The 13,027-nt window shown below is 36.1% G+C and overlaps 1 protein-coding gene across 1 annotated transcript in view, besides 1 other annotated feature; it reads left to right on the top strand.

Moving 5' to 3' along the window:
- Positions 1 to 13,027, top strand: part of RNF141 (ring finger protein 141) — a 29,515-nt gene that overhangs the window by 9,941 nt on the left and 6,547 nt on the right. Inside the window, exons 3-5 of the mRNA NM_016422.4 lie at positions 496 to 604; positions 5,874 to 6,055; positions 12,106 to 12,213. Of these exons, the coding sequence (NP_057506.2) occupies positions 496 to 604; positions 5,874 to 6,055; positions 12,106 to 12,213 (399 nt within the window). The remainder of the gene's footprint in view (positions 1 to 495; positions 605 to 5,873; positions 6,056 to 12,105; positions 12,214 to 13,027) is intronic.
- Positions 3,893 to 3,952: an enhancer, noted in NCBI's record as "active region_4437". NCBI's record gives its function as "activates an Ori minimal core promoter by ATAC-STARR-seq in GM12878 lymphoblastoid cells {active_cell/tissue: GM12878}" and the evidence as "EXISTENCE:reporter gene assay evidence [ECO:0000049][PMID:35858748]".

Below are 13,027 nucleotides of genomic sequence, written 5' to 3'. Positions count from 1 at the left end.
TACGCCACCACGCCCGGCTAATTTTTGTATTTTTAGTAGAGACGGGGTTTCACCATGTTGGTCAGGCTGGACTCGAACTCCTGACCTCGTGATCTGCCTGCCTTGGCCTCCCAAAGTGCTGGGATTACAGGTGTGAGCCACTGCCCTGGCCAACCTTTTTTTTAAGTCCCTGATTTCTAAGACTTGTTTTTCCTAAATGTCTTTGTTAGAAATTTAAAGACCATTGAGATATAGGTGTGACAAAGAGAGATTTATAAATATCATGCCACCAAGCTGTTGACTTTAAAAACCTTAGAAATTAAGTTGCATGTTTATGTTCAAAATATTCTCTATCCCTGTTTTAAGAATCCAGTTATTATAATCATTATTATTTGTCTTTTTGTGTTTCTTCATATTTCCTTCTCTGAAATTGTTTCTTGAATCTAGTTTCATGGCTGTATTATTTTATTAATATATGATTTTTCATAAAATTAACATGTTCTTGTCTCTTTTCAGAACGGCTAAAGTGGCTTCTGGCCAGGAAAAACATCTTCTCTTTGAGGTACAACCTGGGTCTGATTCCTCTGCTTTTTGGAAAGTGGTTGTACGGGTGGTCTGTACCAAGGTGAGACTGATGGAGACTTCTACCTCTGAGCTTAAGCTATTTTGGTGGCTAGAACTATATTTAATACTGTAAGATAATATAATGCATATACATTTTAATAACTCGGTGGTTTTGTAAAACATAGTTTTGTTACTGTTATTGCCTTCTAACTAGCTGTTTGAATCTTACAGTTGTCTAATTGCTATACAGCAGGGGTTTTTATAATCAAATTCTTTTTTGCCTCAATATCTCTAACCATTACATCATACTAATCTTCTATCTCTGTTTTTGGGTTTTTAGCTGGCTGTGGAATGCTAAGGTGACATCCTATTTAGCTCTAAGATGATACCTTAAAAATTAATGTTATCTTGAGATCATTTCTTTTAAGAATACATTCATTCATTAAAAAGAAAAAAGATCCATTGAAAGAGTTTTTTTGTTTTTTAGTAATTTTTAGTTATGGGATAGATTTTTTGCCAGCTGTCATTGAGTATTAGAAAGCCTCAACCACCACTGAGTAGATTCAGATAGAAAGTTCTTAACTTTTTGAGGCTACAAACCTTTTGATTAAATGAAGGCATGAATTTTATTAGGCCACCTCCTATCCCCACCCCGGCTCTAAAACAAAGAACAAAATCATCCATATGCATATAAACCATAAATTGGGCATTCATGAGCGCTCTGAAGTTCATTCCCGACTGACCCATAAAGATTCCCTGGGTTAGGAGATTTTTCCTTTGAGTCACGGACCCTGGAGGTTACCCAAATAATATGCCTTATTTCCTCAGTAGATTGTCAGTTTTACCCATACTGTGTTTTGCTTCCAGTTTATTCAGATAAACATTTGAGCACAAGTGTGAGAGGCATTAGGAATATATGATAAATAAGACAGATTTCATGCTCTCAAGCAGACTGATCTCTCTCTTCTGATCCAGATTATCACAGATTTTGTATTAATCTCTATACTTCTAGACTCTTCTCCAAATTCTAATTTATGCTGCTGTGAGATTAACCTTTCTAAAGCACAACTCGCATCAGATTACTGCCTTGCTTAAAATTCCTCAGTAATTCCTTCTTGCCTACCAAATAGTCCCAACTCCTACAATATGACTCCAAACTATCTTTTCTGCATTAGTCACAATGACCTTCTTTTGCTCTGCATTCTTATCAGGCTTAACTAACTTAAGACTGTATCATTGTTACTTTTCTTTTCCAGTTCAGTGCTTCTGCTTATTGTGTTTTCTCAACTAGGATGTCCATTCCTTCCATTAGGAAGTCACGGAAAATTCCTGTTAAACCAGTTTAAACAAAAACAATACTTATTTTCTCACTTATCAAGAAATCCTAACTCTATAGACTAACTGCAGGATTGGTTAAATTAAAGACCCAGCAGATGTCACTTCTGAACTCACTGGTCAGTATTGGGTCATATCCCCTTCATACACCTACACTGACAGAGGGAATATGATTAGCATGATTGGTTTAGATTAGACTAACCAGGATTGACTCCTGCATCATTTCAGGGAATGGTGGACACAAAAACAAAATAAGGTTCTGCTGGCAATGAAAAGAAGGAATGGTATTTGGATAATCAGCCAGTAGTTTCTGCCACACCTTTTATTTCTGCATCTCTAAACCTGATGTCTCTTTAAAGGTCCACCTCAAATACCATCTCATCCATTAAGTCTTCCTGAATAGGAGTTCTCTTGTCTCTTCCAGATTCCAACAGCACATTATTTATACTTTATAATACTGCATTACGAAAAAAGTTGTTTAGGTTCTTAGCTCCCCTTTAGAGAGTAAGCTCCTGAGGGCAGGAACTATGTCTAGATTCATTATTGTATCTCTTACAGGCTGTAATACGGTGCTTTACACATAGTAGGAACTCAGTATATATTAAGTGAACAAAAAAAATCTGTTGAAATAATACTCTCTTTTTAAATGACTGGGATAGGTTGAAGCTTTCCTTGTTTATTGACACAGTATATTATCTAAATTACACTTAATGTTCATTTTTATTTCATAAAGTACTCAGCTCACATTGAAGAGGCCAATATAAATTGTAGAAAGCTAAGGGAATACGAATATATCAGGCTTTTCATCCCTTCGTTTTTTGTTGCTCTTTGACAAATACAGACTTAAGGTTTAATTTTATTAGTAGTCAAATTCCTTTTTGCCTCAATATGTCTAACATCTGTATGTGATTAAACATCTTCCTTAAAATAAGATTCTAAGTAGAGAAACAAAAGTACTAAAGGCACAGGCAATTAGATATTTTTTCATGTGATTTTTCTTGATTTTAGAGCTACTCTAAAGAAATTTTTTTATTTGCATTCCTTAGGTTCTTTCTGAAAGAATCTGAGAGGTCAGTGTTTATGTTAGAAAGAGGTCAAGTCCACCATGAAAAACTGATAGGAGATTGAGAGTTTCACATTTCTTAATGTTAAACAACTTTAAAAAAATTGTACTTTAACCCTCTGTATTTACATTAAGTCTTTTTCTTGACTCTCTGCCATCTGCTATGATTATCCTTAAATAATATTTAATCCACTATAAAAAATGATCTAAATTATGTTTAAATGGAATATTTTATGGAAATAATATTAGAAAAATAAGAGATTAATTAAAAACTAGGTACTAAGGTGGCTGTTAAGAACTACATGAATTATATTATTTCATCCTTCTTTTTTCTTAGACCAACTTCTTAGAGTCATTCTTGGCTTTTCTTTGTCTCTCACACCTGACAATCTGTAAGTGAGTCCTGTCACATCAAAATGTATTCAGAATCTGGCTAGCTCTCACCATCTACGCTACTACCACCCTATTCCTAGTGACCATCCTCTATCACCAGGATTATTCCAGTAGCCTCCTAACTGATCTCCCTGCTTCTCTTGCCCTGCTTCTGTCTATTCTCAGCACAACAAGCAGTCTATTCCAAGCACAACAACCAGCCTATTCCACATCACAATTTGAAATGTAAATTAGATCATATTACTCCTTGGCTCAAAACCCCCCCCCGTGACTTCTCATGCACTTGGAATCAAAGCTACAGTTATTACTGAAATCAGCAAAGTCCTATATATTCTATTCCCACCTCACCGTCTATCTACCACTCCTTCCTCTGTCCGTCTGTCACTCTGTTCCAAACACTCTGGGCTTCTTGTGAGACTCTCTGTGCTCCTTGCCAGGTACACCTCTATTAAACAGCCTTTGTATTTCCTGTTGTCTCAGCCTGGAATGATCTTCCCCCTAGACATCTATATGACTCATTTCTGCACCTTTCAGTTCTTAAATGTCAACTTCTCTGTAAGGCCTTCCCTGTAACCCCTCAGCGTTCCTTCTCCCCTGTTTCATCTTCTCCATTACACTTATTTTCATCTAACCTAATCTGTATCTGTATTTTATTTGCCTGTCTCTCCTACCTATCATGTAACTTGCTTGAGGGCAGGGATTTTGTTTTATACACACTGTGGCTAGTGCCTAGAGCAGTGCACATAGTACCAATAACATCCACATAATGGTACTCAATAAATACTTGTTTCAGGAATCCTATGATGAGAATAGTTACAGTGTGATACACTTTGCTATTTCTGTACTGACCTTATATGGATTATTCCATAATTTCTTCTGTACTATGCAGTTCCAAAGGACTACCCGTTTCCTCAGCTCTGAAGATCTATTTTGTAAGCCTGTTAAATTCCTGTTACTTTTTAATTCTGTTTATTCTCTACCTCATGTACAGTCTTTTAGTACAAAGAACCTTGTATATTTGCATCTCCAGATAGATTTTACCTTCCCAAAATTTAATCAACTTTCTGATTATTAGAGATGGTTCTAAAATTTCTTAGTATGGTATATGACTCATTCTTTTTTTTTTTTTTTGAGACGTAGTCTTGCTCTGTCGCCCAGGCTGGAGTGCAGTGGCGCCATCTCGGCTCACTGCAACCTCCGCCTCCTGGTTCAAGTGATTCTCCTGCCTCAGCTTCCCAAGTAGCTGGGACTATAGGCGTGTGCCACCATGCTCAGCTAATTTTTTGTACTTTTAGTAGAGATGGGGTTTCACCGTGTTAGCCAGGATGGTCTCAATCTCCTGACCTCATGATCTGCCCACCTCGGCCTCCCAAAGTGCTGGGATTACAAGCATGAGCCACCGTGCCTGGCCGCATGACTCATTCTTGAGTCTCAGTATTTTTTTCCCTGCCTTTTCAAATAGTAAGCAATTAATAAACGTGTTACAACTATTATTTTCATTTACAATATTCAAATGTATAATAATATTTTAAAATATGTAATCTACCTCATTTTCTGATACCCCTAGTTCCATCAATACATTCCAGAACCTAAAGTCACAATTTTATGGCCCTGTGTCTTTGTCTCTCTCCCTATATTCTTCATTTCTTTCTAAATATTTTCTGATTTTGCTTGTTCTTACTCTGATATGCACTTAATAGATTTCATGGCTTACTTCTTCCCCAGTCTTCCATCCTATGTCTTGTGCTGAAAGGAAGTCTTTCATGTCTCTAATCTTTCTCTGATTTCAAGTTCTTCATCCAAGAACATTATACCTTCACCTTACTGGCCTCGGTCATTTCATTATGCCTCACTCCATGGCTCCCCAAAGCTTGTGAAAGCAATCTCCTCTGCTTGCCCCAAGTATCTTCTACATTAGATTGTAAACTGGATGGGGGAGAGGTACAACCTGTAAAGGTACAACCTTTGGGCCACTGGTTTCACCTCATATTAAACGAGTTTTTTGATAAAGCTCAAAATGGCCTTCTGGGAAAAGTCCAACCACCTTTTGTTAGGATTTATTTTAAAGTAATTTTCTTGCTTTAGTTTAGAAGTTTTGGTACAAAATAGAACTTAAAGATATTTAAGAAAGTACTTGTTTGAGTTGTAGAATCTCATGCGGTTGTTGGAGTCAAATGAATCCTGTGGTTAAGAAATTCTTTAAGAAATTAAAGTGAAAGAATTGTTAATACTGATCTCTAAAATTTATTTCTTAACTCTGAGAAAGTCACCTTACCCATCAACAGCATAATGCCTAATTAATCTTACAGGGTGATTTTGTGTGTTAAATGAGGTAAATTTGTATAAGAAGTTTGAACCCCACAAGTGTAGGGGACATGGTATTACTCATTTATTCAGACTCTTGCTTTCTTATGTAATTTGCAAATCCTGAAAACTCCTATTTCCTAGGATGTTTGACTAAATATTTGTTCCCCCTTTTTGGGAAAAATTGGTCAGAGAAATGATCAACTTTTCTTTTTCATGTTCTTTGTATTTTTAGATTAACAAAAGCAGTGGCATTGTGGAGGCATCACGGATCATGAATTTATACCAGTTTATTCAACTTTATAAAGATATCACAAGTCAAGCAGCAGGAGTATTGGCACAGAGCTCCACCTCTGAAGAACCTGATGAAAACTCATCCTCTGTAACATCTTGTCAGGCTAGTCTTTGGATGGGAAGGTATATAATGCATAAGTATTGTATTTCACTTATTTTCTAATATGAAAACAACTGAAATCTATTAATATTTTTGCTGTTGCTCATTGTAGCATCTTAAATCTTTTTTTTTTCTCAGTTGGTATTGTATCTGAGATCAGTTTTGGGGTTATTCTGTGCTTCGGATGTTGTTACAGTGCTAAATTAAAGTGGCTTGGCAGGGCCACTTTAATATTAATGTTTCTGTCACACTGGTCTCCAGGAATCCGCTCTATATGCATGCATTTATTGACAAAGGAGATAGTTAACACCTTCCTTATAATAGGTATTTAGGTTCTTAGACAGTCAAAGCTTTTTAGGGAATTAGGTCAAAGAATTTGGCAAAATCATCCCACTTTTTTTAAAAAATGTCTAATTGAAGCATTAAAATTTTATATATTGGCTTCAGGACTTGGCAGTCCATTCAGGAAGGAACCGAATGCATATACTTAGTTACCAGAAGGAAATGAAGTCAGCCAGAGTTTTCTCTGATGATGTTTGTTTACCCAGGCCTAATACATTATTGTTCTATCTAAACTTTCTTTTCCTTCTCTGTTATGCTTTTGGCACATGAAAGTTCCCACTTCTTGACATTTGACAATCATGATCATAATTTAAATTTGTAAATATCTCATTGGAAAAAGATTTACATGGGTCCAAACATGTTGACATCCTGTCTTACTGTCATACTGGGTAGATAGCAGAAATCTATATTCACCGTGTCCTTTACCTTAAAGTTAAGAATGTACTTAACAGTGATTTTTTTTTTTTTAATTGAGGCGGAGTCTTGCTCTGTCGCCCAGGCGCGATCTCGGCTCACTGCAAGCTCTGCCTCCCGGGTTCACGCCATTCTCCTGCCTCAGCCTCCCAAGTAGCTGGGACTACAGGCGCCCGCCACCACGCCCGGCTAATTTTTTGTATTTTTAGTAGAGACGGGGTTTCACCGTGTTAGCCAGGACGGTCTCCATTTCCCAACCTCATGATCCTGCCCTCCTCGGCCTCCCAGAGTGCTGGGATTACAGGCATGAGCCACCATGCCCGGCCAGTGGTTTCTTTTTTTTTACTGCTCTATTTACAGTTGCATTTTCTGGTTCATTCTTAACCAACTGGTTTTCAAGCACTATGTTACAGTTAAACTGTATTTTCCATTTATTATTTCCCAATTATCTTTAATAGAATTACTTGGTTTTCTAGGTTTGGTCTATACAAGTGTTACTGATAGGCCAAGTGACTTTTAGAACATGGTAGGCAGTGTTTAGGCTTGTCTTTCCTGTATTCTGTAATCTTTCAAAGATGGATCTGATTTTTCTGCTTTTCTTCTCTCCAGAATAGTGGTTGTTGTTTTGTTTAATTGTTTTAAAAGCTGAGGATGGTGTTTGCCAATGTATTTAAGCTGTATGGTAGCACATGAAAAGAAAGTATTGTTTTTTTCTTGTTACAGTCTTCTTAATGAAGAAGGTAAAGGTGTTATCCCTTTTCATGTGCCCTCAAAACTGGAAATTCAGTTCCTGATTAGCTTGTTAGGGGTGCTTCTTGTTTTTGTGTGTTTTTTCAGTTTATAATAATACCCTTATACACTAGTTCACAGAAAGAGACTTTCTAAATTGAAGGAGGTCTTAAGGGATATTTATGTAGTTGAACTTTACATCTGATGCATAATTCCATTGATGTTTTACATTTATTGATTACTTACAGGGTATAGAATTGTGATGAGTGTTGTACATGTATAAACTCATTAAATTCTCACAACCCCATATGGGAGTACAATTATCGGCCCATTTCAGCCAAAGAATCTGAGATTTAGCTAAGTAAGTGTCATGATTAGAAATTGTTCTAGCCAAGACTCACATTCAGGCCTGTCTGGCAGTACAGCTGTGCTCTAACCTATTACTTTATGGTGCATAAAGATCTTGCACACAGAGCTTCTGAAAATTTATTACTCAGTGGTTTTGAGGAGGAGCCTGAGAGTCTGTCAAGCTCCCAGGTGGGGCCAATGCTGCTGATCCTCAGATAACACTTTGAATAGCAAGACTCTGCTTACCCACATTTTGCCAAGTCCGACTTGCAAGTACAAGTAACACCTGCAGTTATGTGAGACTCACTGCCTGAAAAAAGCAAGCCTTTTCATACTCAGATGGCTCTAATCACTATGAAGTTTTTCCTATTGCTTCATTTTCCTCAGAGTAGCCAAAATCTTTCTTGAGGCAGCACGGCACAGACTCTAGCAGCAAGTTGCCTGTGTTCAAATCCTGGCTCCACTCCTGTGTGATTTTTTTGACAAATCAAACTGTTTCCTCAGTTTCCTCATCTTCTAACAGAGGTTGATAACTGTAGTATATGCTTTATAGGATTTTTGAGAGAATTAAAAGACATAAGATGCTCAGAACAGTGCTTGACACATAATAATTTGTCTATAAGAGTTAACTGTCATTATTATTGTTACTATATTCTATTTATTGTTTTCAATGGCTGTGCCCTCTGGAATTCCTCCAAACAAATCTGTTCTCTTTTCCAGCCTTTCAAATATTTGAAAACAGTCATCAAATTCTCACTGAACCTTCTGTTCTCAAGGATAAACACCCCCAGTTCCTTTGGCCTTTGTTTATGTGGGTCTCGTCTACATACTGGAGGCTTTCCCAGATGGTCTTTTCTCTGTCAGTATGTGTGCCTTTCAGAGTATGAGGCATAGAACCAAATATTCCAATCTACAGGTGATCTAACAGGAACAAACAGCACAAGACTCTCCTTCCTTCTGGTCACTGTGCTGCTAAGAAGGTAGCAAAAAGTTAAGAGAACTTTGTACTGGTTCCACTGGCTATTTCTGTATCTCCCATTCTTTTATCTCTCTCCACAATGCTCTTCTTTGTAGTCCTCTGCTTCTCACTTTTAAAGTCCAGCCTTCAGAATATTCTTTCACTCTGTACAGATTCAGTTATATTCTCTGCTACTGAGAAACTCAGATACATTAGACCCATATCCATCTAGGTTTTTATTCAGTTTTCCCATTCCAATTCAGTGACTTCCCTCTTTTCCCTGTTACTAACGTATAACACTTAATCTATTACCACATAAAAGATTTGTCTTTTATAATGCTTCTTAGACCTAATTATCTCTCAGATGAATTGCTGAAATAAGATCCTAACCAGTTTTCCTCTTTCTAGACTGTCCCTCATACTGCACTCCCAATTTATCTTCCTGAAGTACCATATCAGTTGGAGTTCACTTCCCCTTGATTATACACTGATTGTAGTTTGCTTGTCAGGACACGTTCAAACTTAATATTTTGACATTTAAGGATGAGATTATCTCCACTTTATCTAATCAATCTTTTTCCTCAGTTTTCCATACCCAAGTATCATGCCAGCTTCCTGGTTACATATACACAGACATAAACACACATGATTTTGCTTTTTACCTCTACAACTTTGTTTATGCACCTAGAATGTCTTCTATTAAAATCCTATTGTTTTTCTATCTCATCATTTCAACAAGTTTGAGATATATTCATCTCTTCCTTCTTTACTTAGCACTTACTATATTTAATATACATTTGACATTTATTTTTACATTCAAATCAAAATTTTAAGTACTATCTAAATATCTTACATACAGTGCTATAAGCACAACAGGGAATGGAAAACATATTAGTGATAGCTCCTATCCTTAAGAAGTTTATAGTCTAGTGGCTGTACTTTGGAACAGTCAGTTTTTATATTATTACAAAAGTAATACATGTCTGATGAAGAAAACCTTAAAAATTACAAAAAAGCACAAAGGTTAAAAGAAATTAAAATCACTTCAAGAAGCATTTATTGAGAATCTAAGACAAACACCCTATATTCAAAGAGCTTACAGTTTATGGAAAGGCCAGCCAATCAATATGCAATATTTAAGTCTTTTCATTGAGGCAAGTGTTGATTTTGAGAGCAGAGAGATGATGATGTTTTGAGCTGAGTTACCAAGGTTGGAGCTTACTAAACTCACAAGGGCAGTTTCAGGAAAGGAAAATACCATCTGCAAAGGTATATGGCTCATTCAGGGGCTCTCTGAATTGTGGCTGGAGCAAAAGGTTTGAAATCTTTTTTCTTCCCAAGAAGATGAAAGAGCTCCTGGAGGACAGAAACTGCTTTTTATTCCCTTTGTATCTCTCACAGCACCTGATACTTAAGACTAAACTATTCTTTCACTCATATGCCCATTATCAATGTCAGCATTGTAAGGCCCTGATGGCAGGATCCATATTTTAGGGAGCTTTGTGTTACACATAGTGAATAAATTATATGGTCATGTATCACCTAACAATGTTTTGGTTAATCACAGACTGCATATGTGATGGTGGTCTCAAGATTATAATGGAGCTAAAAAATTCCTATTGCCTGTGGACGTCGTAGCCATCCTAATATTGTGATGCAATGCATTACTCAAATGTTCTTGGTGATGCTGGTGTAAACAAACCTACTGTGCTGCTCATAGTATAAAAGTATAGCACTTACAATTATGTACAGTAATACTTGATAATTATGTTACTGGTTTATGCATTTATTATACTATACTATACTTTTTAATCATTTTAGAGTATACTCCTTCTACTTATTAAAAAAAGTTAGCTGTAAAACAGCCTCAGGCAGGCCCTTCAGCAGGTATTCCAGAAGGCATTGTTATCAAAGGAGATGACAGCTCCGTGCATGTTACTGCCCCTGAAGACCTTCCAGTGGGACAAGAGGTGGAGGCGGAAGACAGTGATGGTGGTGATCCTGACGCTGTTTAGGCCTAGGCTAATGTGTGTGTTATGTCTTAGTTTTTAAGAAAAAAGTTTAGAAAGTAAAAAAGTAAATAAATCTTAAAAATAGAAAAAAGCTTATAAAATATTTCTGTACAGCTGTATAATGTGTGTTTTAAGGTAAGTGTTGTTACAAAAAGAGTCAAAAAGTTAAAAGTAAAAAGTTTATAAAGTTAAAAATCTATAGTAAAGATTAATTTATCATTGAAGAAATATATTTTTTATAAATTTCGTATAGCCTAAATGTACAGTGTTCATAAAGTCTGTACACTACTGTACAAGTGCTATACAGTAATGTCCTAGGCCAAGCTTGTTCAACTCACGGCCCACGGGCTGCATGCAGCCCAGGATTGCTTTAATGTGGCCCAACACAAATTCATAAACCTTCTTAAAACATGAGATTTTTTTGCAATTTTTTTAGCTCATCAGATATTGTTAGTGTTAGTGTTAGTATATATGTGGCCCAAGAAAGACAGTTCTTCCAGTGTGGCCCAGGGAAGCCAAAAGATTGTACACTCCTGTCCTAGGCCTTCATATCCACTCACCACTACTCACTCACTGACTCACCTAGAGCAACTTCCAGGCCCGCATGCTCCATTTATGGTAAGTGCCCTATACAGGTGTACCATTTTTAATCTTGTATACCGTATTTACACAGTACCTTCTCTGTGTTCAGATACATTTAGATACACAGATACCTACCATTGTGTTACAGTAGCCTACAGTGTTCCATACAGTAACATGCTATATATGTTTGTAGCCTAGAAGCAATAGACTATGCCATATAGCCTAGGTATGTAGTAGTAGGCTAAACCATCTAGGTTTGTATAAGTACACTATGATATTTACACAGCAATGAAATCACCTAACAATGAGTTTCTCAGACCGTATCTCTGTCTTTAATGCAATAACTATATCGGTTAAATTTGTTTATTTAAGTCCAATATGATTAAAATGGGCTAAATTGTTTCCAGAAAGATTTGACTATTTCCACTTTTGCCTATGTTTTCTTTATCACAAAATGTATCTTTTATCTAGTCTTTCTTTATGAAATGTAGCCCTCTTAATACTTTTTCCCTAATATATTTGCTATCCCTAAAAGATAATATTAATTTTAGTCTGATTTTGCACATGAGTCATATTGTGCTTTATACTGTGGGCATATAGATGTTTAATAATGCTTTTTAAAGCAACAAAAAGTATAAAGCATAATGACAGAGAATATAATTGTTTCAGCTCAGTTTTCACATTGCAGGGTGAAGCAGCTGACCGATGAGGAGGAGTGTTGTATCTGTATGGATGGGCGGGCTGACCTCATCCTGCCTTGTGCTCACAGCTTTTGTCAGAAGTGTATTGATAAATGGTAAGTTACCTACTGCATTCATGGGCTGGGCCAAGGTCAGTGGGATAGTGTACATGAATAAACTTTGAAAAGTGCAAAAATACTGTAGTTAAGTATGAGAGAGATTTTATTCTTTAGTACTTTGAATTTTATGGCATGCCTTCTACTGGTTAAAACTATTTTTGTTTTTACACCTAACATTTATTAAATATGGGGGTGTACCTTAGTTTTGACACTTTTCTTTTGCTGTATGAAAATTTGTGCCTGACTTAAGTCTAAAATCAAACATTTCCCTTTTTCCTCCTTTTTTTCTCCTCATTTCTACATTTATTCTGTGTATGTGTTTAGAAGGAATAAATTCTTGAATACTGGACCTCAGGGAACTTTAGAGATCAGCTAGTCAAGTTCATTATTTTACAAAATAAGACTTGAGCGTTTAGGATAATTTATAAAATACATACAATAAACTACATGTATTTAATGTACAGTTTAATATGTTTTGGCATATATACACACCCATAAAAGTTATGAATTTTTATAAATGGAATCATATAATATGTGCTTTTTTTGTCTGGCTTCTTTCATTCAGTCTAATTACCTTGGTATTTATTCATGTTGTAGCATGTATCAATAGTTCATGCCTTTTTATTGCTGAGTAATGTCTGTTATGTGGATACCATAGCTTGTTTATTCACCTATTGAGGGAAATTAGATTATTTTCCATATTTATCTATTACAAAATAAAGGTACTAGATACATTCATGGACAAGTCATTTTATGGATGTATTTTGGTTTTTTTCTTGGGTGAATACCTAGACATGGAATGGCTAGATCA

This window comes from Homo sapiens, chromosome 11, assembly GCF_000001405.40.
Source record: "Homo sapiens chromosome 11, GRCh38.p14 Primary Assembly".
Taxonomy (NCBI): Eukaryota; Metazoa; Chordata; class Mammalia; order Primates; family Hominidae; genus Homo; species Homo sapiens.
This window is presented reverse-complemented; position numbering and strand designations above follow the sequence as displayed.